We start from the raw sequence: 26,454 nt of genomic DNA, 5'->3' as shown, positions 1-26,454 counted from the left end.
TCTCTCTCGTGCTGTCTCCCTTATGCCTGGGCATAAGCTCTGATAATGCCCTGTCTGGGAAAACTCTTTTGGCCTTCTCAATTTCTATTACATTGAGAGCCCAAGAACCCATGGTCAGTAACAGGCCAATGAGAAGCCTCCTGCATTAGTCTAGGTGAAGGATAATGGTGGCTTGGACCGGAATAGGGTGGTAGTCATGGAAATGGGGAGAATTTGACAGACTAGATTTATTTTGGAAATAGAACTGAATCTGAACAGATTGAATTGGGCAGGGAGCAGGGAAAGTGAAGGGGAAGGAAGACACCAGGTTTATGCCTTCAGCATTTGGGTGGATGAATGGATGGATGAAAGGATAGATGGATGCATGGATGGTGGTTGGATGGATGAGTGGTTGGATGAATGGACGGTCAAGGGGTGAATAGATGGGTGGATGGAAAATGGAGAGATGATGAACTGAGATGGGGAAGACTAGAAGTGGGGCATATTTTTGGGGAAAGACAGTTTTGCAATACGTTAAGTTTGAGGTGCCTCAGAGTCATAAGAGAGGATTTGTCAGAAAGGCAGTTGGATATAAGATTTTGAAGCTCAAAAGACAGGGAGGGCCTGATGGTATGTTTAAACCTATACGGATATCACATAGGTAACATTTCAAGCCTAAGAAATGGGCCGGGCGCAGTGGCTCACACCTGTAATCCCAGCACTTTGGGAGGCTGAGGCGGGTGGATCACTTGAGGTCAGGAGTTCGAGACAAACCCAGCCAACATGGTGAAACCCCATCTCTGCTAAAAACACAAAAATTAGTGGGGCATGGTGGCACATACCTGTAGGCCCAGCTACTCAGGAGGTTGAGGTGGGAGAATTGCTTGAACCCGGGAGGCAGAGGTTGCAGTGAGCCAAGATTGTGCCACTGCACTCCAGCCTGGGCGACAGAGCAAGACTCCGTCTAAACAAAACAAAACAAAAAAAGCCTTAGAAATGGGCAATGCCACCAAAGCAGAAAGATGAAAGGAGGGCAATGCCCTGAGGTGTGCCAGCATTGGAGGAAACAAACAGCCAGAGATGTAGGAGGAAAGCCCAGAGAAACTGTGAGCTGCAAGGATGAAGTAGTAACAAATAAAATGCCACCAAGAGAACCAGAAGGACGACTGGAAACAAATAAACAAGAAAGACTATTGCATTTAGCAACGTGAAAACGTTGGATTACTTTTTACTCAGAAATCAAACCCCAAGGATAGTGTTTCCCCTCCCTACAGGGGTTTCTGCAGGTCCCTTTACACGCCCCCCTTCTACTTCTTTAAGTGCTAAAAGTGATTAATTTGGGGTGATGTTTTAATTTCTATTCTTTTTGGCTTATAACTGTGTTTTTTCATTCTTTGCAACAACAGATAGTATGTTGTAATAGAAAAATCCATTGTGGTCAATGATAACTTCTGCCTGTTCCTGGGCACAGGGGGCATCACTATTAGTGCCTGTTCCTCCCTCCCTACTGCTGATAAGGAAACAGGGGCAGGAATAATACTAATAATTTGTGCTACTTTTTCTGCATACCCTTGGCCTTATTCTGGTCTACTGAGCTGGGAGCTTGTCTGAGGCTGGAGCTCTATTGTCTGAATCCAGGGGCAGAAAGAACTGAGGGCTCTTTTACGGCATCCACCTGGAGGCTGCCTGCAGGCTTGGGTTGCTAAGTGCACTGCTTAATTTAGAAGCGCCTTTTATCCTGGCTCTCTTGACCAGTCAAAGTTGTGGTCGCTGTTTTCTACAAGGACTGGGGAAAGAAAGGGTGGAATTAATTAAACCTGGAGGAAGGGACTTTGAAGGGCGGAGCTAAGGTCAAAGAAAGAACCCTTTAAATAAAGGGCCCACACTGGCTGCCAGGGAGTGCGCAGGACTGGCAAGAGGGAAGCCGGGCTGCTCCACGCCTTTCACGCCTTCCACCTCCTGCGTGTCCATCTGTGAGAAGGAGCCAGAGCCCAAGGGAGATGATGGAGCCTGAGGAGTACAGAGAGAGAGGTGAGCAACGGGCATCCCTGGCCCTCTTCCCTGCTGCTACTCCTGCAGGAACGGCTGCTGGTGGGTGGCCCTTAGATTCTGGGGTGACATTTGATGGGAGCATTAGAATTGCCTTCTGAGAGTTGGCACCAGCAACATTTTTTTTTCTGCGAAAGGAATGTGGGATCAGAGTGTAAAACTTTTCTCAACCACTCTTTCATTCTCCCTCTCATATACCCACTCTCACATATGTCCACACTACCGTGCCTTGCTTTTCCTCCCCACTTTCCCACAAAATTGAGGATTTGGATCCCTGAGCCACTAGATGGGAAAAGGGGATTGTTCATATTCTGAAATAGAAAAAAATTTTCTCAATATTCTGTAATCACTGCAAATCCTTTCTTTCTTAACATTCATTCCTTCATGTGTGAATCTATCAGCAGTGTTCTTTCATTTAGTCATTCATTTCATAAATATTTAGTAGGTGCCTACTCTGTATCAGGCAAAACCAAGTGGTTATCCAGTTCTCAGGCATGGATCTCCCTTAGCAGGAAAGTAGGTAGTTGCTTAAAAAAGAATCTTGAATGTCTATTTCTATAATGTTTTATATCCTCCTACTCACTAATTAGTGTGCGTTAGCTTATTCCATTGCTTTCCTAAGGCACTGTCAGCTGAGAGCAAGTTCCTGTGGATATTTATCTTCTGAGTGGAACACAAATACATTTAGCACTGTTCCTGGATCAGTGGAGGGTTAGGTCTAGAGCTCTCAGATCTCTGGTGGGGCCCTGCTGGAGAAGAACCAGGATGTGAGAGGGTTGAAGGGGAGCAGAAGGAAGATAGAATGGTGTGGAAATCTACCTTTGTCTCATAAGTTTTGTCTGGGGTTGGTTCTGTTCTTAAGAACTTTGCATAAGCTGATGCAGAGGGGAGAAACTGAGTCCCCTCTCCTAGGTAAAAGCAGCCCAGGGAGTACTAAGGAATGGATGTTGAGACAGACAAAGAGATATGTACACACACACACATGCACACACAGCAACAGAGGCACTGAAGACTGCAATCTGAAAGAATAAATAATTTGCAATAGTTTCAGAGTGTTCAACTTGACTTTTTTTTCCTTCCTTACTCATATGTTCATTCACTTGATACATTTTTTTTTAGCATCTAAAAAATATCCTAAGCACTGAGGTGTTGATGGAGGCAGCAGGAGGGAGAGAAAGTCATTAAGATTTGGTGCCACATTTCCCAGGCCAGGGCAGGGGGCTTGGTCTGGATCCATGGTTGTGCTTTAGGGATTCTGTGAGCCTCAGAAATTATACACAAAGTTCTGTGTATATGTAAGCCTACAGTTTTAATCAGATTCTTGAATTAAGTCCTCATATGAGTCCAAAAAAGATGAATAATAACTGATTCAATGGGGATGGTGAAAAAATAGATTTTTTTGTCCTTTATCGGAACTGGGCATGGAATCTTTCTATCTGTGCTAACAGATATAACTGGTGGGTGTGTGTGTAACAATTTTTGGATACAAAGAGCTATAGAGTTTCTATTGAACCTATAAAATAGTTAATAGATGTTCTGTTTCTGAGAAGGAAAGAAAGGTAGGAGAGACAATCAAAATTGAAGTGGATAAAGGAAGGGGAAAGAAAATGAAACGTTTCACTTTGGCGCTAGAGTTTTGTGCTTTGGAGATTTTCCTTTTTGTTCATTTGCTCACTTAGAAACTCCCTCCATCATTCATTCACTCCCTCACTCTTTTTTTAAATTCTGAAGATAAGGTCGTGCAGGGGATCAGATCCTACCCTCGGCCCATGAATCTGTCTCTCTCTTTTTTTTGAGTCCAGGCTGGAGTGCAGTGGCACGATCTCGGCTCACTGCAACCTCCGTCTCCCAGGTTCAAGCGATTCTCCTGCCTCAGCCTCCCAAGTAGCTGGGATTACATGCGCCTGCCACCACGCCCGGCTAATTTTTTGTATTTTTAGTAGAGAGGGGTTTGACCATGTTAGTCAGGATGGTCTTGATCTCCTGACCTCGTGATCCGCCTGCCTCAGCCTCCCAAAGTGCTGGGATTACAGGCATGAGCCACTGTGCCCGGCCAAATCCATCTCCTTCTTTACCAAGTCTCTTGGCCCGGACCTGAGAGGGATGGGCACAAATCGGTCAGGCCCAGTCAGGGGATTTCAGCCTGATTTCTCTATGTCACTTCTAGGGAGAGAGATGGTGGATTACATCTGCCAGTACCTGAGCACTGTGCGGGAGAGACGTGTGACGCCAGACGTGCAGCCTGGCTACCTGCGAGCCCAGCTGCCTGAGAGTGCTCCTGAGGACCCCGACAGCTGGGACAGCATCTTTGGGGACATTGAACGAATCATCATGCCTGGGGTGAGACACAGTGACCACAAGGGCAGTTCTGGATTTCAGGGCACAGAAGGGTGGGTGGTGGCCTGGAGAAAGACCTGCTTTGGGTCAGCTTGGGATGAGAATGCATCCTTCAGCCACTTGGCCACCAACACCCCAGCCCATCTGCTAGGCATGTGGAGGGCAGGACTTTGACTGGTATTAGGTTTCTTTTTCTTTTTTTTTGCCCAGTTGTGCCATGGCATGAGGTTTCTGATGCCAGGGCAGGGCTGGCCAGAACACCTGCATTCCAGAGCACAGCCTGGCAGAAGTGTGGAAGTCTAATGGGATGGGTGGAGAAGTGAACATTTTGTCTGAGGGGAAAGGACAACTGTGTATAGTAAGACAGGGGAGAGGAAGCTGGTGGTAGTGCCTGGCCCTGACGACGGAGCCAGAGACTCTTCTGTACAGTGTCTGAGACCACACCAAAGAGAAGGAAGGAAGTGGGGAACACATCCTGGCAAGGACACGCTGGTGACCAGGTTGCGTTGGCCCAGGAAACTGAGTGGGCCCTGGCAACCCCTCCTGTCCCCTCTGAGGTCTGGTGATTGAGCTGCTTTTCAAGAGCAAGAAGGGACTTTCCCTGAATCATTGATACTTTCCATGATGGAGGGTGCAGCCTGGGATAGTGCTGGTGGGGCCAGGAAGCTGATGGAAGCTGGCTGATGCATGGGCTTGAGCTGGAGCCTGCCTTGATGGGTGGTGGACACCCCTGACCACTGGCGGTGAGGAGCTCTGCCATGGTGCTCATGCTAAAGTGGCATCGACTCCCTTCCTGTGGCGGGGCTCCCTGCCATGTGCCAGCTCTGTGCTGGCCACATGACATGCTATCTAATTTAATCTTCCCAGTGGCCCTGTTTTACAGATGAGGAAACTGCTGATGCTCAGAGAAGTTAACTGTCTTGCCCAAAGTCACAGAATTAGTACCTGGTAGATCCAGGATTTTACCCTAGACCAGTCTTACTTCACAGGCTGTGCCGTTTCTCCTACCCTCTGTCACCTCTACTGGTGGGTGCCTGAATGTGCCTGGCTAAGCCTGGGCCCCTAGCATTGCCTGTCTGGCTCCACACCCCCACACAAGCTGTGTCTTCCCTCTCCCTGCTTGGGGCATTTGTGTTCTGAACCACACATGTTTAGAGGCTCTTCCTGAGGCCAGCTTGAGGTTTGCCTTCATCATTCCCAAAGAACTTTTGACTTCAATGTGACAAAAAGGCCAGGCGCGGGGGCTCACACCTGTAATCCCAGCACTTTGGGAGGCCAAGGCAGGTGGATCACCTGAGGTCGGGAGTTCAAGACCAGCCTGACCAACATGGAGAAACCCCGTCTCTACTAAAAATACAAAATTAGCTGGGCATGGTGGCACATGCCTGTAATCCCAGCTACTTGGGAGGCTGAGGTAGGAGAATCGCTTGAACCCGGGAGGCGGAGGTTGCGGTGAGCTGAGATAGCGCCGTTGCACTCCAGCCTGGGCAACAAGAGCGAAACTCCATCTCAAAAAAAAAAAAAAGTGACAAAAATATGCCTAGAGGCAGGGGTGGGAAAATATTCAAACTCAGAAAGTGATGGCAATTTTGACTTTTTTTTTTTTTTTTTTTTGAAGCAATAGAGACAAGGTCTTGCTATGTTGCCCAAGCTGGTCTCCAACTCCTGGGCTCAAGTGATCCTCCTGCCTCGGCCTTCCAAAGTGTTGGGATGAGAGGCCTAAGCCACTACGCCTGGCCATGAGGGCAATTTCATACAAAGCCACTCATCTCTTTGACCATTCAGCCTATTTCACAAGCATTTTTTGAAAATGTCAATATCAGTAAGGCTTTACGGAGGCTAGATCCTGATAAGATTATCTCCTGGATTTTATTCTGTAAAATGTAATCTGCTGAGGGGCTAACTGTAATCTGGGAGTGAGACTGAAAGCAACTGTCAGAAGAGGTGGAAATGAGCTGATTCATTTGATCAAGAGGAATTCCAGCAGTTGCTGTGGGTATGGTCGGTGAGGCTCATTTCTGGAAAGAGGTCTGTTTGTTTTTGATAAGGGCTCTTCTGGCTATTTTATCTTATTTATCTTACAAGAACAGACTATTGTCTCTTGATAGAGCTAGGAGGTAGAAGCCCTTCTCTGGGGTTTCCAAAATACTGTCACTAAGGACAGTGATAATGATGGTCAAATCTCTCAACTCATCTCTCAGGCCACACCAGCCTCTGAGAGCTGGCCTGAAAGCAGTTGGCCCTTTGCTTACTCATTTTGCTCAGTGCCTCATTGAAAACTGAATTAGTTTTTCTCTTCCTGCCACCACCTAGAAAATAAGAGAAGAAAAACTCTCTTTCCCCTTTAATTCCAACCCTGGTTAGACAATCCTCATTTACTTTTCATGAGAGAGAGAGAGCATCCCCACGGGAAAAGTCAGGACACCACCCTGCTCGGGTGTCTGGGCTTCTGCCTCATTGCGGTCACCTGTCCCTATGGGGTATGTGTGACCACAGGGATGTGGCCTCTCTCTGTCAGCCCCAGTTCTCGCCTGCAAAACAGAGATAATGTGTAGGTCCTACCCCATAGGGTCCTGTGAGAAGTAAGTAAGAGAAGGCTTGGAGAGCAGGAGATGTGGTTATTACCGATCATGACTCTTACATGGTGAAAATTGGAGGAAGAGGTTTGATTCTCTGAGTCAAGTCAGGATATGTGATGTGTCTGTCACCCACATGATTAGTTTACCGTTAATGTTAGAGCTTAACATTTCACACATTTCTTGCCCACGCCTCCACCCACACAACAACCCTAGGAGACAGGATTTATTTTACGATGAGAAACTGAGGTTGAGGGAGGTGCAGGAGAGGCTCCTGGTCTTATGGGGTCTGTACTGTAAACACTTTTTGAGACCTCCTTTTGAAAAACAAAAAAGAAGGAGGCCGGACACAGTGGTGCATGCCTGTAATCCCAGCACTTTGGGAGGCTGAGGCGGGTGGATCATGAGGTCAGGAGTTCGAGACTAGCCTGGCCAACATAGTGAAACACTGTCTCTATTAAAAATACAAAAAATTAGCCAGGCATGGTGGTGGGCACCTGTAATCCCAGCTACTTGGGAGGCTGAGGCAGGAGAATCTCTTGAACCTGGGAGCCAGGGGTTGCACTGAGCCAAGATGGCGCTGCTGCACTCCAGCCCTGGTGACAGTGCGAGAATCTGTCTCAAAAAAAAAAAAAAAAGAATGAATCTCAAAAGAGACCCACACAAATGGTATGTTGGAGCTTAAGTTCATTAGCTTCATGGTAAATCTACACGGTCACACAGCTGGTTAGGGACTGAGGTGGGATGGGAACTTGTGTCCTTGGACTTAATTCTTAGGCTCCTTATACTATACACACTGTCCAGGACAAGGTCCTTGCTCTTGAAGGACTCTAAGTATGTGTGGACAGTAAAGAACAGGATGATGCCCTAAGATGTTATCAAATGAGTCCTCAGTAGAGTGAAACATCTAGAATTCTAGAGTTCTATCGCTCAGGGAAGGGATCGAAGGGAGCTGTGGGAGCTGGGGGAGAGTTCGAGGAGGAAATGAATATTTAGTAGCTTTCTAAGAACTGGCAGGTTTTGGAAGGTCATGTCTTTATAGAGAGTGCCTTTCTATCAGGGGACACAGCATTGCTCAAAGACATAAATGCAGAAAGGAACAGGGCATGCTTGCAGAGCAGTGAGATGAGGAGAGATGAGATAATCCATGAGGCCGATGAACCACCAGGGCTGCTTCTGAGTTCTGATGGGGGGCCCTTCCTGCCCACTCAGCTCCTCCTTACATCCGGTTTTGATTGTGGGCTCAGGGCTTAGCCTGGAGGTCGGCCTCCCATACGCTTGGTCTGGGCTCTCCTCTCTACCGTCTCCTTTCCTCACTACATTCCCAATGTGATGCTTAAGGACAGCTTTGAACCCATTCACCCAGACCCTCTGAGTTGCATGCTCAGGGAGCTCAGTGCTCCATAAAACAAAAACAAAAGGTGCCTTTTGCAAGAAACTGGATGAAACAAGTAGTCTGCTTTTCTGGAGCTCACAGTCTGCCCTTCCTTTTTTTTTTTTGAGACGGAGTCTTGCTCTGTCGCCCAGGCTGGAGTGCAGTGGAGCGATCTTGGCTCACTGCAAGCTCAGCCTCCCGGGTTCACATCATTCTCCTGCCTCAGCCTCCTGAGTAGCTGGGACTACAGGCTTCTGCCACCCCGCCTGGCTAATTTTTTTGGTATTTTTAGTAGAGATGGGGTTTCACCATGTTAGCCAGGATGGTCTCAATCTCTTGATCTCGTGATCCACCTGCCTCGGCCTCCCAAAGTGCTGGGATTATAGGCATGAGCCACCGCACCCGGCCTGCCCTTCCTTTTATTGCTGGGCAGGGGCGGCATGAGGGGTAAGTACTGGGGACTAATGTGAATACCACCCAGAATCCCACAACTGGGTTACTGTAGTGATTTTCCTTTTGCATATTTCCTTCTGGACTTTGCATATATGAAAAGGCTCCACTGATGATCTAGCATAGGACATGGGCCACATTAGTGACAAGAACACCAGTGAACAAGTCTGATTTTCATGGAGTTATGTCACTTATTTCTGCTTAAAAGTGTCAGCCCATCTCTAGAGTGACACTTCACCTTGCCAGAGATGGTCTCTGGAGAAAGAAAGCCTGCTGGAAATGCCTCCTGGTGCCAACTCTGTGCATGCTCTGCCTCCAGGTGGTACATTGGCAGAGCCCCCATATGCACGCCTACTACCCAGCCCTCACCTCTTGGCCCTCCCTGCTAGGAGACATGCTGGCTGATGCCATCAACTGCTTGGGATTCACCTGGGTGAGTAGCAACGGCTGTAACTACTCGCAATGGGGAACGTAGCAGGGAGTGGTATCCTAGGGCAGACATATTTTGTCTTGGTTTCTGAATATGGCTCCACAATAAATATTAATGAGGGCTATATTCTTTAAGCTTACGCTTTATTTTAATTTTCTCATCACATCCTTTAACCCTATGGAATCACGAGTATTGATCCCATTTTGTAGGTGAAGAAATCGAGGCTTAAGCAACTTATCTCCCCCAGATCACACAGCTCATAGAGACACAGATAAGACTTGGATACAGATCTGGTTATTGCCACAGTTTGTGACCTTACCTAAGCAATTTGATGCCTATTGAGTCACCACTTCCTCTGTGCTCTTGTATTTGAGTAGCTGGAGATATGTCCTAAGACTTCCCTTAATAACCCCTTAAGCACCACTCAGCTTTAAATGGTGCCAAAAGCCTTCCAGAACATCTTTTTATTTTAAGCCTGAACTCCTATGGGTGTGTGGGTGGGTGGGCGGGGGTATTCATATCTTTTCTAGGAAAACATCCCCCTGGGCATTTGAGGACTTCTCAGCTATGTATTTTAGCGACTTGGAGAACCAAATCCAAGCCAACCATTTCTAGGGCTGTTTCTCCATAGAGCCTTGGAGAATTCGCCTCATTGAGGGCAGCATGAATCCAAAACCCCACATTATTTTCTCTTTTGGTTGACAGAGAGTGGACCAGGAGAGAGGCACGTGGCCTAACATGACCCCTTCTCCAGAAATGTTCCCATTGACACCATCAGGGGCAGACATGTTTCTGGAGCTCGTGGGGGCACCTCAGTGCCCTGGGGCTGTGCAGTTTGAAGTTCCTTTTCCTTTCTCAGGCATCCAGCCCTGCGTGTACAGAGCTGGAGATGAACGTCATGGACTGGTTGGCAAAAATGCTGGGACTTCCAGAGCACTTCTTGCACCACCACCCCAGCAGCCAGGGCGGAGGCGTCCTGCAGGTACCTCCCTTGGCAAAGCTTCACCTAGCTTGGGGGCTAAGTAGCGAAAGACAAGCCAAACCCTAACCTGGCAATTCTCCCGTTCTCCATGGAGTTTCCCCCACATTACCCACACCGTCATCACCAACAGCACCATCATCACAGCTTCCACCTCTACTCCCACCTCAGCTTCTGCTTCATTCACATGTACTGCTACTTCCTTTGAAAGAAATTAAAGAGCCAACACATGATCACATTTCCAGTATGACTTGATTCAGGTTTCTTAGTCTATAATCTGACAATTCCTTTTTGGTGTCCCATTTTGTATCTCACGGTAAAAGGGGAAAGGAGAAGGCAAGGAGAGGACTTCTCTTTCTCTCCCTGCTAGGTTCAGGAGATCCCTTGCAGTGAGAGCAATTAACAGCATAAACTGATTAACGGTATCCTCTGACCCTATCTTCTGGATACTTGTCAAATTATGGTTCTTCAAATATTTCTTTTTTTCAAGAGTAGTGCCATGGAGTGGAGCTTTCTGGGTGCCTCCCATGGACCACACACATTGTTAGGTGCTTTTGCATCTATAAATCCTTGACGTTCATGAGGGCTTGGTTCTAAGACCTTTGAGATTCCTCAGATTCTTGAATTCTACTTTAATGTATGTTTCCTGGTTTTATAATCTATGAGACAGAGATAATAATACTATTTCCCTCAAAGAGTATATGCAAGGATTCAATGAATTCTTTTTTTAAATAAAAATCGTGGCTGGACATGGTGACTCACCCCTGTAATCTCAGCACATTGAGAGGCTGAGACAGATGGATCACTTGAGCCCAGGAGTTCAAACCAGCCTGGGCAACATGGTGAAACCTGATCTCTCCAAACAAACAAAATTAGCTGGGTGTGGTGGCATGTGCCTGTAGACCCAGCTACTTGGGATGCTGAGGTAGGAGGATTGCTTGAGCCCAGAAGATTGAGGCTGCAGTGGGCTATGATTGTGCCACTGCCCTCCAGCCTGGGCGACAGTGTAAGACCTTGTCTCAAAAAATAAAAAAATTGCCATGTTGCTCTGAGATGAGAACCAGGAAGTTCACTAGGTCCTCTTGCTAGCTAAGTGACTCCCTCTCTCACTGCAGCCTTGCAGCAAGATTAAAATCTGAACCTCGGAAGAAAGACAAATTGCAGCATGTTGTGGACATTTTGGATTGTCAGCAAATAGTTACAACTTCAGATATCATATTTGGGAGAACATGCTAAATGTCTGCGGTACATGATCTTGCTTTTCATCTGATTATCTCAGGAACCCTGCAGGTGAATAGTACCATTCCCCAATGTTTTGAGATAAGAGCACTGAAGTTCAGAGAGATTAAATAATTTGCCCTAGCTTACACAGCTGATAAGCGGAAGAACGAGGATTCAAACTGATGCCTGTCTAAATCCAAACCATGCTTTCTCCTGTATCGTCAGCCATGTGAACTTGAGTTAGTCCCATCACCTCTCTGAGCATCACTCTCCTCATCTTAGTGTGACAAGAATCATAATTATCTCAAAGAGGTGTTGTGAGGAGCAAGTAGAATGCCAGAAAGTGTTTTGTAAACTATGAATTGCAATACAGATGGAAGGTGTTGTTACCATTATTATTATTTTTAAAAACAGGGCCTGGTTCTGTCTCCCAGGCTGGAGTGCAGTGGAGCCATCATGGCTCACTGCAGCCTCCATCTCCTGGGCCCAAGCAATCCTCCAACCTCAGCCTCCCACGTAGCTGGGACTACAGGTGTGCACCACTACACCTGGCTTTTTGTTTTTTGTTTTTTTTGTAGAGACAGGGTCTCACTATGTTGTCCAGGCTGGTCTCAAACTCCTGGACTCAAGGGATCCTCCCAAAGTGCTGGGATTACAGGTGCGAGCCACTGCACCCAGCTGATTATTATTATTATTATGCTACATACTTCTTTACATAAATAGCTTTCTTTTTATGGAGTAACTCCCAGGCACTTAATATCTGTGGGATCTGGTCCACACCACTCTCCATGACAGTGTCTGCCAGGCATTTTTAGCAGGATTCTATCAGCTGTAGGTCACTTGAAGATTTCAAGAAGCAAAGACATCAAAGACTGGGTGAATGAATGATAAGGAACCATAAAGACTCCTGTGAAGTTCCTGAGGTGGCCCCGAAGATTTCCACAATCATGGCCAGAGCAAAATCCTACCCAACCCTTGTTTGGATAATCTATACTCCCATCCTGGGAAGCAGTTAAAGGGATGCTCTCCATTTCATAGACAGAAAAGAGTCTTCTGGAGGGGAAATGTTAGCCCAAGGTCACAAGAGCTATTGACAACTAAATGGGCCCAAGTCACCAGCCTCTCACACAGGCCAGGATCCTCTCTTCCTGGGGACTCAAACTCCATATCCATTTGTGTAATAAGCTGAGAGTTCTTCTTTTAAATATGTTTTACATGGGGAGCAAACACATCCAGGAGGGACAGAACATTCTCTTTTTGGTTTCTGTGGCCTCTGTAATAGAGAGGCTGGTATTAGGTGCAAACTTATTTTAGAAGGCAGAATAGGAATGAAAGTTGGGGAGGGACATGGGCACCCTGGGCAGGAGGAGCTGTGTATTTCCTTCTGTGAATAGCTATGACACACACATACACAAACACATACACACACAGAGAGAGAGAGAGAGAGAGAGAGAGAGAGAGAGAGAGAAAAAACTAGAAAGCCTGGGGAAATTTGGCAAGAGAATACAGAAAGGCTGCCATGATAATCCTTTTCCCCTGCAGAGCACGGTCAGTGAATCCACTTTGATTGCCCTGCTGGCAGCAAGGAAGAACAAAATCCTGGAAATGAAAACGTCTGAGCCCGATGCTGATGAGTCCTGCCTAAATGCCCGACTCGTGGCCTATGCCTCTGACCAGGTGAGTTGCCCGACGCAGGACAGCCCTTCGGGTTGGTGCTTGGCTTCTGGAATCTTGGTCCTTGAGCAATTTTTTTCTAGACGTGAGTACGCTGGGGTTCTGAGCAGCTCAGACATGGGAGCTTGTCTCCAGCAACTGTAGGGAAGACAAGCTTCCAATGATCATATTTGGTTCCCGAGTCTTAGGCTTCAGCAGTTTCTGGGGGGTGATCATTCCAGGATGACTCTTTGCTGACAGGTTTCTGTGGCCCTTCTAGGCTCACTCCTCTGTGGAAAAGGCTGGTTTGATTTCCCTTGTGAAGATGAAATTTCTGCCTGTGGATGACAACTTCTCACTCCGAGGGGAAGCTCTTCAGAAGGCCATCGAGGAAGACAAGCAGCGGGGCTTGGTGCCCGTCTTTGTAAGTCAGGATATATGCCTAAGCTTAGAATGATAGAACTTGGATGTGAGGAAGGAATTTTGGCAGAATTCAGGTAAGTAACATGCTGCACACAAAAGCAGAAAGGTCCTCCCATACAGTATTTTACACATCATGAGGTGCTATCCATAGGTGTGTTATGGAATAAATTTTGTGGGTCATAACCAGCATTAAAAAGAAATATAGTATAAAATATTAGAGTGCACACATATAGCCAGAGTATGTATTGTTTTATGAAACTTTTTTTTCAAATACACACGTATACATGTACTAGATTGTTATATAAAATGTGTTTCTTACGAGCCATGGTAAAACACAGTCTGAAATATACACTGTTCTGGTGGGATGGATGGGAGTAGATCACGTCTGTGGTGAAATCTTTCTCAGGCCAAATGTGTCACACGAGCCCACCCTCCTGTGTTAACTTGCCTTAATTTTCCCCTAGGTCTGTGCAACACTAGGGACCACTGGGGTCTGTGCATTTGACTGCCTGTCAGAGCTGGGCCCCATCTGTAAGTATCTTCCCTCTGTGGCTAGGAAGACAAGGAATACATTTTTAAATGTCTCCTAAAGCAAGGACCTGAAACCAGCTCTATGGGATTATTCTTGTTCCTCTTTGGTCAATGCAGAGACATGGGAAGAACCACCAAAGGTCATGAGGGTCTCTTCCAGGGATCCCTGGACATTGCCTTTCCCAGTGGTGTGACAAGAGTTAGAGGTGGCCTACCTTGCCTCCTGTCCTAGGAGGCGACAGTAGGAGAGCCTTCGGTTTTCTCATCCTCTTACTTGTATGTTGAACTTTACTTAATGCAGGCTATATCCAAAATACAGTGTGAATTAGGCTAGAATAGAAATGCTTTCTATTCTACCTTCAGAAAAGGAAAAGGGTAGGGTAGGGGAAATCATGGGAGAGATTAAAGGCAGAGAGGAAACCCAGATGGGACTGTTTAATCCCCAAGCAAGAAACCACTAGGAAAGAGAGATACCTTCCCTCTAACTTTTGTATTCGGTGCACTGACATTGCTCTCTGTGCTGGTGGGAAATTGATTTCTGTGCCAGGATGTTCTAGGCTGAGGCCAAGAGGGTGCTGGCCCTTTACCCAGTGGAAGAAAAAGGCAAGGGTGAGGCTTTGTAGACTTTCCCATTCGGAGGTAATGATGCCTCCTTCAGCCCCACTTCTTCAAACTGACTCCACCTGCTCCCATCTCCACACCCCTCCGTTTCTCATTTAGCCAAAGCACATCATCCTTGCAGCCCACCACTCAGCTTGGCCAGGTGCGAGACATCTTTCCCCACTTCATACCTCCCCTCCGGCCAGGTGATGTTTGCCTCCTCAGGTGCCCGTGAGGGGCTGTGGCTCCACATCGATGCTGCTTATGCAGGCACTGCCTTCCTGTGCCCCGAGTTCCGGGGGTTTCTGAAGGGGATTGAGTATGCCGACTCCTTCACCTTTAATCCTTCCAAGTGGATGATGGTGCATTTTGACTGTACTGGGTTCTGGTGAGTGTAGCAGCCCAGCTCCGAGCACGCAGGAACGCCTTGCCTCCTCTGGAGAGACCTCAGCCACTAATGCCCATTTGGAAACCCACAGGGTCAAGGACAAGTACAAGCTGCAGCAGACCTTCAGTGTGAATCCCATCTACCTCAGGCATGCCAACTCAGGCGTGGCCACCGACTTCATGGTGAGTGGCCAGGGACGGGCAGCCTGGTGGGCTCGGGTGGCCAGTGGGAACTGTAGGCGTCTGACCCCCCAAAATCTGTACGGTGGCTCCCTTCAGAAGGCAGCACACTATGAGCTCATCTCATAATACTGCCAATGCATACCTTGGTTTCTAATTGTGCCTAAGTATATAGAATGAAACCCAGAAAATGGTTAAAAACCCTAGAAAATGAGACCAGCCTTTGAGGCAGTGTGCACATTTCCTGAATATTTGTGGCATTTTTTAATTCCCAGAAATGCTCTTCCTACCACAGGTGGACCAGTTCCTTCTGCCTCCATCTCGGGTCATCTTTTTTGTTTCTTACCCAGCAGCAGGGCAGGGTGGAGAATTTCCCTGGTGGGGAAAGAGCTTTCTTGCTGAAATCGCTTTTGTTTTTTTGTCCCTGACAGAGGCGCTGTGGGGCAGCTCTGTGGTAGTGATGGGCTGCAGGACTTGTGTGAGGTTCTGGAAGCCTCCAAGCATTCCTGACTTTCCCAACTGACTGCGCCTCAACTCTCTAACTCACTCTCTCTCTCTTTTCTTTTGTTTTCTTTCTTTCTTTCTTTCTTTTTTTTTTTCTGAGACAGAGTCTCGCTCTGTCAACCAGGCTGGAGAGCAGTGGCGCCATCTTGGCTCACTGCAACCTCCGCCTTCCAGGTTCAAGCGATTCTCCTGCCTCAGCTTTCCAAGTATCTGGGACTACAGGCGTGAGCCACCGCGCCCAGCAAACCTCAACTCTCTTGATTCCACATCCTCAGCCAGTATTTTGCCTGAGGGAAACGAGTTCTTAACAAATTGACTCCGCAGTTTGAGGATGAGCCCTTCCTTTACTTGTAGGGGAGACAGGGATGTAAACGAATGTATTACACATAACCTGGCCAACGGAGGCAGCAGAGCAGAGTGGGGGCAAGCTTGGTTTGGAATTCCATTCCAGCAGTGGCCCTTTGGGAAACTAACTGGACCTCTCTGAGCCTTGCTTTCCTTATCTGTAAAATGAGAATAGTGGCATTGATTCATAGGGTATTGTGAAGCTTAAATGGGAACACGTGTGGATCACCTAGCAAAATAGCCGTGTGGCAAGTGCTCAATATATGGTAGGCATAGTATTTCTGAAAGCTCTTCTTTGAAGCTGCAGAGATTTGTTAGGACAGTGGTTAGGCATGTAGGTGCTAAAGCCAGATGGCATGTGTTGGAGTCCTGGCTTTCTGTTTACTAACTTGTGTGACCTCGGGCAAGTGACTTAAACTCTGTGTCCAGATTTCCTCTTGTGTCAAATGAGGCTGATGACCACAGTTCTGGCTTCTTAGGCTTGCTGTGAGGATTATACAAATTAATACACTGAAGTGCTGAGAGCAGTGTCTGACCCCTGTAAGCATCCTTCCTTGTGAAGAGATGGTTTTATCTTATCTTCTTGGACAACTGAAGTGTCTTGCCCTTTTAGTCTTAAAATAATAGCTTCGTCATCACTTGATTATACTGGCTATTCTCCCTTGGACCAGTCCACACCCTCTTTAGATATTTGAAGCTTTTGGATTAGAATTGCAGCGGTAAGCCTCACGGCTTACTGGTGGTGACAGAAGACCCTCTAGAGGTAAAGAAAGAAAGAAAAATAATGGTTCTTTATCTCCACTGCTCTTTCTGGTAGGTTTTCAGAGATTTTTAATGAAAAATTAAAAAAATTCCAGAACAGCCCAAGGGTCAGATATCTTTAGGGATAACTGTAGGTTTGCTTCCTGAGTGTGAATTGATGCCCATTCTCCTATGAGTGTATTTGGGTCATCATAACTGAGGAGCATTATATTCACCCTTGCCCTTTTGAATTTCATGTTACCGTTTAAATTCATTTACCACAGTGCCTCAGGATCTTCCCGGGGTTCATTCCTAGGAGTTTGGAGATTTTACAGTGCTCTCTGTCTTCCAGATAACTCATAAAAATGTTAGAGTAAACTCTTCCCAGCCCTGCTCTGGGGAACCTTATTATTTTTACCTCTCCACCCAGAAGGCACTGCCTTACACTTACCCTTCCCCCACCTTTAATCCTATGGATTTGATTTTCAAGTCCATGAAGAAACTCCTAGAAAAGTGAAGTTGCTATCTTTTTCATGATCCTGAGGGTCCTCAGAGCTACTCTCACCTGGGCCCAATGTCTTTCCCACCCAGGTGGCTGCAGCTTTGAACAGAAGCTCAGTCCTGCTCTGAGATGAGCCAGAAACAGGGCAGCATCCCAGGAGAGAAGACTTAGGTGCTTAACCCCTGGGGTCCTGGAATCACCTAAAATCAGGGCTAGATTCTCTGACAGCGGAGAAGCTCCCTGTTTTCTGCCTCTCACTGGACAGAGAGCACCAGTGGAGGGAGCGTTACCTTAGCCTTGGCAAGGGAGCCCTGCAAGGACCTTACAAGGACACAGAGGAGGCTGGAGATGCCTCAAGGTAAAGAAGAGCCCTGTCAGGCTTTATACGTCCAGATTTTTTGATCCAACAGAAAATGTTGGCTAGAACCACTCTGCTGAGTCAGCATGGATCAGTTTTGGAATAGTGACAAGAAAAGGAGCAACTGGGAATAAGGAAGATTGTGAAGAAATCAAAATAAAATCACCTCTGCCTATCCTGGTTTATTTGCTGGTAAAATAAAGTAGCTCTCTCTATATATGAAATAAATTGGCTATAACTATCTGGAAACCAGAACCTTTTGACAGATGATCCCTATCATCCGTTCATTATTCTCTTGGAGTGTCCATTGGACAAGAGGTGGAGTTGACACTTTCCTTGTTACAGCAATTTTGTTCCATTTTCAGGTTTTGATGCCTTCTGCTGGCACAAAAGCCCCCAAGCTGCTCCCCAGCACAACAGAGTTTTGCTTGGAAATCAAAGGCTTAGTAGTTTTCTGCTGGGGAAACATTGTCCATCAACAAAGGGGTAACATCCCAACTGTGCCTGGCTCAGGAAACTGGGGTGAAGGGTGAAGGTGAGGACATTTGTGAGGATTTGATAATCTTGTGTATGGGCAGATAAATACGCAGTGGGACAAACATTTATTTTTAGTCAACAGAAATTGTGGTAGAAACTTTCTGACGTTTGAGGGAGATGTCATTAGGAAACCACGTGACTCATTAGAATAACTGTAAATGTTTTCCAAATCCTCTGCTCTATTTTCAGATCTGAGAAATCAGTCTGAAATTGATTTGGAAATTTTCAGATGTATGGTGACTGCAACCTTGAACTTTAAGCTCTGTTGAATTTGGCCACCAGGAGCAAAGAGTCAATTTTCATCTAACAGCGGCAGAAATTTGGGTGCTCATTTGAAATCTGACAGCTGGAGTGATGGCTCTCAGATCACAGGAATCTCACAGGAAAATGAACAAGGCAGTGTAAGGTTAAATAGGGGTCATCTTGGCTCTAGACAGAAATGCTACTGTGATTTGTAGCTCACATTTTAAAATAATCTAAATAGCCAACACCTACTGACAACTTCTTCTGAGGCTCTTGGCGTTCTTTGTCCTCACACCACTTGCCCGGGAGGTGCAATTGGTTCTTTATGTCCCGGACTGATGAGCCAGTGAGGTGGCACTACCCAAGGTCACACAGCTAGTAAGTGGCACAGCTGGAGGCGAAACCTAGGTCTGCAGGGCTCTAGTGTCTGTGCTCTAACTACCATACTTTACATTTTGGGAGGAATAAAAATAGAACTTTATTTTCTGCTATTCAAGGAATAAAGATTCATTTAGAGTAAAAATGTATTTCCCTTATGTTGAGTTTCTGGGCCGGGATGAAATGTTTAAAGCAGCACTTGAAAGCAAAGTGCCCTTCTCATTGGTTCAGGGTAATGGACTTGACTTCCACTTGTCTGGCTCTCAGACAAGTGACTATTGGCCACCTTCATCAGTGATTTGGTCACACGATGGGGCAACCCTTGGGGAGCTTGGCTTACTCCTTAGCAACAGCTCCCAGAGTCATGGTGACATCGTCCATCCCTGGAGGGCTGGGCAGGCAACAGATAATGCCCAGAAATGCCCGAGGGAGTGGGGCACCCTTGTCTCTAACCTTGGGCACTGTGTTCCTTTGTTTCTAGCACTGGCAGATCCCCCTGAGCCGACGGTTTCGCTCTGTTAAACTCTGGTTCGTGATTCGGTCCTTCGGGGTGAAGAATCTTCAAGCACATGTCAGACATGTATGTAGCATGCTGCTGTGGGGGCTGAGCCTGTGTTCCTCTGTTTTCTCATGGCGAGGAAGGCTGGTTTCTACTTTGCAGATCTGCCTAGGAGACTTGCGGTGTGTGGTTCAGGTGTCTGGGCCTGTTCCTCAGCTCCTGGGACTTGATTCTCTTTGTTAACCAGAGGAGCGCTGAGCACAACATGCCCTGAGGGCTGCCTGATGCCTGTCCTCTGCTGAGTGTCTCACCGTTCCCCTTGCTGTCACTGAGCACTGGGGAGGGTTGGCCCCAGAGTCTGGTTTGCAGGAAAGAGAAAGAGAAAGTAAATCAAGGGGAAGTGTGTGTGGCCAGGGTAGGATCCTATCTGCTTTGGAATTACCTCAATGGTCACAGCTGGCTGAATATTTTAGCACTATTATGATTATGCCTGAAATAAAGCTCCCCTGGCTTGGACAGGTAGACCTACCAAGTCTGGAACAAACCTCCCTGCATCAACAGGCATTTATTGAAGGCCTATTTTGCTTAATTTATTTCTATTCAATTCAACAATTACAAGGTATTGTGCTAAGAAAGGGACACAGAGGTAAATGAGACAGGTGCAGCCTCTCTCCCATGTTCTTCATGGAAGAAGCGGGACTTAACTAAGAACTCTGGCCACTGGCATTGTTCTCCCACTTCTACAAGAGTCCACATGCAAGACAAAGCCATTGATAAAAGTAGTGGGGGAAGCTGAAGACACTGTCCTTTCTGCCTATGTGTGTCTTTGTCCTTCCACCTTTCCTCTAGGGAATTCCTTCTTGGTTAAACAAACACAAACCAAAATGAAGTGGTGGAAGCGGTAACTATGATTTTTTTTAACATTTAAAAAAAATAATTATTATGCTTACATAATAATTACGTATATATTTATGGGGTATGTGTGAGGTTTTGATACAGGCATACAATGTGCAATGATCAAATTAGGGTAACTGGGTATCCACCACTCAACCATTTATCATTTCTTTGTGTTAGAAACATTCTAGTTCCATTCTTTAAGTTAGTTTGAAATGTACAGCAAATTATAGTTAACTATAGTTGCCTTATTGTGCCGCCTAACATTAGATCTATTTAATTGTATTTTTGCGCCCGTTAACTATCACCTCTTTATCCCCCATTCCCTGCTACCCTTCCCAGCCTCTGCCAACCATCATTCTACTGTGCGTCTCCACGAGCTCAGTTTGCTTACTTTTTAACTCCCACGTTTGAGTGAGAACATGTGAAATTTGTCCTTCTGTGCCTGGCTTATTTTGCTTAACATAATGTTCTCCAGTTTCCTATGACTGGTTTTAATGTTGGTAATTTTACCTTTGTAATCACCACTGGTTGTTTACCAATGAGCAGCTGCCACCAACAATATTGAGGAACTTTAGGCACTTTGTGCTGTTTCTAGAAATGCAGACTCAAGACTGGAGGGTTGTGGGCGGGGAATGGTTGGTGGAGGTTACAAGTAATTAGGAACATTTTTTTGCTTACAGTTTGGGACTGGATATTCAATGTGCAGATCCTGACTAACCTCCCTTAGCACTTCTGTTTGCAAATCAAACCCCTGAATTCCTCCTATTAGCAACCCCATTGCCTACCATATGAGGCCCACACTCCTGGGCCTGGCTTTCAAGGACTTGACGATTAGCTCCTACCTTAGCTTGGGCATTTCATCGACCCATCCAGACCTCATGCTCAGTCCATCTCTGCACCTTCACCCGTGTCCTTCACCTGAACTACCCTCTCCTCTCCAAATGTTGTGAATGGATTAAATTCTGCTTCCACTAGAAGCTTTTCTGCCTATTCCATCTGTTCTGGTTTCTGCTTCATTAGCATTCCTGTGATCACCTACTCAAACACCTTTACAAAACTGTGCTCAAAGTTCTTCCAATGTCCCACAATAGAAGAAATGGAATTAAAATAAAGTTGTTTGATATGATTTGATTTTATCTCTTCAACTTGACGGTGATGATAATTATTGACACTTGCGTAATGCCTTCAATACAAAAATAAATTCTAGTTCTTCATTAGATCCTTAGCACAGTGCCTGGGGTGGTCACTCTAACCTGGCAAGGCTCAGAGGGAGTAATTGCCCTGCTTGAGGGAAGAAGGCCCGGGACTTTCCCTGAAGCCTCCCAATTCCAAATCCTTTCTTCATAGTTCTGGGCTGCTTTCTACTACACTGAGCTCTTGGAAAGTTATATAAAATTAAATTTCATATTTCTGTGTTACAGAGAAGTGCTTTAAAGAATGGATTTTTAGTTCTACCCTTTACTGTTTGATGACCTTAGACAAATTACTTAACCTTTCTATATTTGTCTGCCTTATTTATTTATTGTTATTTATTTTTGAGATGAGGTCTCTGTTGCTCAGGCTGAAGTGCGGTAGTGCCATCAGAGCTCACTGCAGCCTTGACCTCCCCAGGCTCAGGTGATCCTCCCACCTCAGCCTCCTGAGTAGCTGGGACTACAGGCGCATACCATCATGCCTGGCTACTTTTTGTATTTTTTGTAGAGATGGGGTTTTGTCATGTTGCCCAGGTTGTTCTCACGCTCCTGGGCTCAAGCAATCTGCCTACCTTGGCCTCCCAAAGTGCGAGGATTACAGGCATGAGCCACCACCCCTGGCCATGCCTTCCTAATTTATAAAAATGAGAAAAGGATACTACCTCTCTCAAATTAAATGAGATAATATATATGCAGCCCTTAGCACAGGGTCTACCTACTACTCAGTTAAGTACTCAATGAGTACCTCTTCCTCTTCTCTTCTTCCCCTTCTTCATCATCTCCTTCTTCATCTAATTATAATAAATTGTCATCATCATCACCATCATCATCATCATCATCCTCATCTCCTATCACCTACAATAGGGATTGGTAAACATTTCCTGTAAAAAGCCAGATACTAAATACTTTTGGCTTTGTGGGCCATACTCTATTGTAATTACCTCTGTACTACAAGAGCTACCGTAGACAATATGTAAACAAATGGGAATGCTGTGTTCCAAAAAACTTTACAAACACAGGTGGGGGCTATATTTGGCCATGGCTGCACTGTGCCTGCCCTTGACCTAGAGCGGTGCAGGGCACTGGCAGCAGCTCTGCTTTCATGACCTGTAAAGTGGGGCTTTGGAGGTGGCAGTGCTGCCTGTGCTCTGTATTCTCCTCTCCCCTGACCTCTGCTTCTGTTATTGCAAACAGCATGTGTTGTAGGAGGGATAAAAGCACAGTGGGAGGAGATCTACCTACTGTCACTTGTACCTTGGGAAAGTCACTTTCCCTTGGTTCCTTCTAAAAAATGGAAAGATTGAGCTGGGCACAGGGGCACGTGTCTGTAGTCCCAGCTACTTGGGAGGCTGAGGTGGGAAGCTCAATTGCTCCCACCATAGCCCAGGTGGGAGTTCTGGGCTATGGTGTGCTATGCCAATTGAGTGTCCGCACTAAGTTCGGCATCAATATGGTGACCTCCCAGGAGCAAGGGATCACCAGGTTGCCTAAGGAGGGGTGAAGGGGCCCAGGTTAGAAATGGAGCAGGTCAAAACTCCTGTGCTGTTTGAAACTGACCACGCAGGGGAGAAAGGGGCTCTGAGAAAGATTTGGAGAAACTCATTTCATTATGGTCAAAAGACAGGCTCAGGGCCAGACATGGTGGCTCATGCCAGTAATCCCAGTACTTTGGGAGGCCTAGGAAGGAGGATCGCTTAAGCCCAGGAGTTTGATACCAGGGTGAACAACCTAGTGAGACCACTGTCTTTACAAAAAAATTAAAAAATGTAGCTGGGCATGGTGGTGCATGTCTGTAGTCCTAGCTACTCAGGAGGTGAAGGTGGGAGGATTACTTGAGCTCAGGAGTTCAAGGCTGCAGTGAGCTTTGATTGTGCAACATGCCTCTGTACTCTAGCCTGTGTGACAAAGCAAGACCCTATCTCTCAAAAAAAAAAAAAAAAAAAAAAAAAAGAGGTTCAGCTAACTCCCTTGCCCTCTCTTGAAATAGAGCAGTAAGTATGAGAACTAACTGATAGAATTACTTAGCAAATATTTTATTGAGATCTTCTGGATGCTTGGAGAAATTTTTAAAAAGAAAAGAGAAGGCAAGTCCTGTCCTTGTTTAGTTAGTAATCCTGGGTTAAAAACAAAAAGCAAAAAACCCCAGGACATTTAAAAAGATGGTATGAACTTCAGTGGAAGATTAATATAATACAAAGCCTTTAACATTTTAAAATTGTAACAAAATATTCATACCATAGAATGTACCATTTTACTCATTTTTAAGTGTACAATTCAGTGGCATTAAGAATACTCACAATGTGGTGTGACCATCACCATTATTTCCAGAATTTTTTCATCATCCCGAGCAGAAACTCTGTATCCATTAACCAGGTCCAAAACCTTTCCATGATGGGTGGAGACAAGATGTGAAAATATGTTCTCTATGGAATGTCAGAAACAGGGGATGAAAAGGGCATTTGGGGTACAGGGTGAGAAGAGGTTTGAGAGGCAAGTGAAGCATGTAGGCTTAGGATGGGGCAGGGCCGCCACTAGCCCATATGGCAACTTGATGTGCACTACAAACAGGCATCTCTTCCTTTAGGCACACGCAGCTCGCATGAGGCACCTGGCTGGGAACGCAGAGCATGGACTGGGTTTTGGCCCTCACTTGCCCACTTGGCCAGTCAAGGAGCTGTGAAATCAGGAGTTGAGGCCGGGTTGCCTGGACTGCAAAGCACATGCCTTCTGGGTTCTGGGGCTGAGTTGAAAGAGGGCCCTGAGATGAGTTCTCGAGGTGGATCCCATGTGACAGGAAACAGGGCGCCATTGGAAATTTTCCAGCTTGGAATATGAGCAAAATCAAATGGAGATGACAATGAGGCAGAAGCCGCTTACAACGGCTGTGACGGGAAGATGGCCCTGGTTTAAAACCATTTAGCAGTCTGAAAGTTTATGCATAGTCTCTTGTCTGATGATTAATCTCAGTTCTCTTTATACTTGCAATTCCAGGGTACTGAAATGGCTAAATATTTTGAATCTCTGGTCAGAAACGACCCTTCCTTTGAAATTCCTGCCAAGAGGCACCTTGGCCTGGTGGTTTTTCGTCTAAAGGTAATACCATCTTCCAAGCCCCTCTGTGAATGATGTCTTGTGGTGCTCCAGAGCCTCTCGGAAACACAAATGCTGGGCTCTGGGGATGCTGACAGGGGGTGCGATGGAGACTTCACTTCCTTTATTTTTCAAACAGGGTCCTAATTGTCTCACAGAAAATGTGTTAAAGGAAATAGCTAAAGCTGGCCGTCTCTTCCTCATCCCGGCCACTATCCAGGACAAGTTAATCATCCGTTTCACTGTGACATCCCAGTTTACCACTAGGGATGACATCCTGAGAGACTGGAATCTCATTCGAGATGCTGCCACTCTCATCCTGAGTCAGCACTGTACTTCCCAACCCAGCCCTCGGGTTGGGAACCTCATCTCCCAAATCAGGGGTGCCAGAGCCTGGGCCTGTGGAACGTCCCTTCAGTCTGTCAGTGGGGCAGGAGATGATCCAGTCCAGGCCAGGAAGATCATCAAGCAGCCTCAGCGTGTGGGAGCCGGTCCCATGAAAAGGGAAAATGGCCTCCATCTTGAAACCCTGCTGGACCCAGTTGATGACTGCTTTTCAGAAGAGGCCCCAGATGCCACCAAGCACAAGCTGTCCTCCTTCCTGTTCAGTTACTTGTCTGTGCAGACTAAGAAGAAGACGGTGCGCTCCCTCAGTTGCAACAGTGTGCCAGTGAGTGCTCAGAAGCCACTGCCCACAGAGGCCTCTGTGAAGAATGGGGGCTCCTCCAGGGTCAGAATCTTTTCCAGGTTTCCAGAAGACATGATGATGCTGAAGAAAAGTGCCTTCAAAAAACTCATCAAATTCTACAGCGTCCCCAGCTTTCCTGAATGCAGCTCTCAATGTGGACTCCAGCTGCCCTGTTGCCCTCTGCAGGCCATGGTTTAGACACAGGGCCTTCAGCCAGAGTCTGAGGATATACTTCAGGGACTCTGTGAACCCCTCACAATTGTATGCCAACTTTGTGTGCTTATGTGTACATGCATTTTTCTTGGGGCGAGTTCATAATTTTAATCAAATTCTCATAGGGGTTCATGACCCACAATAGGATACAAACGAAGAGTTTAAGCCAGCATGATCCAGATGGGTTCAGCAGTCTGGTCAGTGAGAAAGGGCCGAGGGTAGACAGGCAGCTTCTGTGGTTCAGCTTGTGACATGATATATAACACAGAAATAAATTATGCTTGTCCCTGAAACAAAACATACCCTGTGTCACTTAATTGGCTGCTGAAACATTGATTAACCAGTCTGGGAGCTTAAACATATGTACTTTTTTTGAAGCATCAATTATGAGTCAGGCACTGTGGCTCATGGTTCATAAATGAGGAAACCAACGTTTAGGTCACACAGCTTTAAATAGGCAAACCCAGGTCTCCTGGCTTCCAGTGAAGCCCAGGCTGTTTCCACCATGCAGTACTGCTCAAGGTTGGACCTGAACAGGAGCTCACAGCCCAGCAGGCTGCTCTGGTCCTCCAGTACATTTAAATGTTTCCTTTCTAGGTTTGGAACTTGTGCATTTTCCCCTTATTTTCCTGGACCCGGTAGTCAAATAAAAGCTATGCTCACAAGTGGCTTGCCCATAATTAGTTCAGAGGCCAAACACATAATTTTATTTCCATTTCAGATGGTACTTTGATAGGTTGTGACTCTGAAATGGGTTATGTAAAGAGTATTAAAGACAAACAAAGCTGGGCATTAGTTAGAACTTTAAGGATAGATGTTAAACAGTAATATACTATCACAATAGGGAAAAGGGTCCCATGTGAACTGAACTCAACTTGGATTTGTGCAAAGGTGACTAGGCATTTCACAGCGTGAATGGGAGAATAGGGAGAAGGCCAGCCTAGACTTAGAAGAGTCAGGAATGTGAAAAATTACAAAAAGCGGAAAGTGGTTGATGTGAAACCCCTCTGGGTTTGCTAACTGGTGCTTTTTGAAGTAAGACTCTTACCCTCCCACAGAGACTGGGAGTCAGGGCCCTGTGTTCAGGGGTTCGCTG

General features: G+C 46.3%; 1 protein-coding gene and 1 pseudogene across 7 annotated transcripts, besides 1 other annotated feature; both read left to right on the top strand.

Moving 5' to 3' along the window:
• HDC (histidine decarboxylase) lies at positions 1,877 to 25,656 on the top strand. 7 transcript variants are annotated; one of them, NM_002112.4, is made up of 12 exons: positions 1,877 to 2,010; positions 4,196 to 4,368; positions 9,086 to 9,199; positions 10,056 to 10,178; positions 12,939 to 13,073; positions 13,330 to 13,473; positions 13,937 to 14,003; positions 14,829 to 14,991; positions 15,083 to 15,173; positions 19,260 to 19,358; positions 24,359 to 24,460; positions 24,597 to 25,656. In NM_002112.4, the coding sequence occupies exons 1-12, from the start codon at positions 1,980 to 1,982 to the stop codon at positions 25,341 to 25,343; spliced, it is 1,989 nt and encodes a 662-aa protein (NP_002103.2). In that variant the 5' UTR covers positions 1,877 to 1,979; the 3' UTR covers positions 25,344 to 25,656. The 7 variants fall into 7 exon arrangements, with proteins under 7 accessions (NP_002103.2, XP_016877583.1, NP_001293075.1 ...); XM_017022094.2 differs by having other exon boundaries at positions 14,724 to 14,991; NM_001306146.2 differs by lacking the exon at positions 19,260 to 19,358.
• Positions 15,052 to 15,553: an enhancer, noted in NCBI's record as "H3K4me1 hESC enhancer chr15:50544247-50544748 (GRCh37/hg19 assembly coordinates)". NCBI's record gives its function as "activates a minimal SCP1, AML or CMV promoter by ChIP-STARR-seq in primed H9 embryonic stem cells {active_cell/tissue: H9 hESC(primed)}" and the evidence as "EXISTENCE:reporter gene assay evidence [ECO:0000049][PMID:30033119]".
• RN7SL494P (RNA, 7SL, cytoplasmic 494, pseudogene) lies at positions 22,672 to 22,975 on the top strand (annotated as a pseudogene).

Source organism: Homo sapiens, chromosome 15, assembly GCF_000001405.40.
Source record: "Homo sapiens chromosome 15, GRCh38.p14 Primary Assembly".
Taxonomy (NCBI): Eukaryota; Metazoa; Chordata; class Mammalia; order Primates; family Hominidae; genus Homo; species Homo sapiens.
Note: the sequence above shows the minus strand (reverse complement) of the source record. Positions and strands in the feature narration are given on the sequence as shown.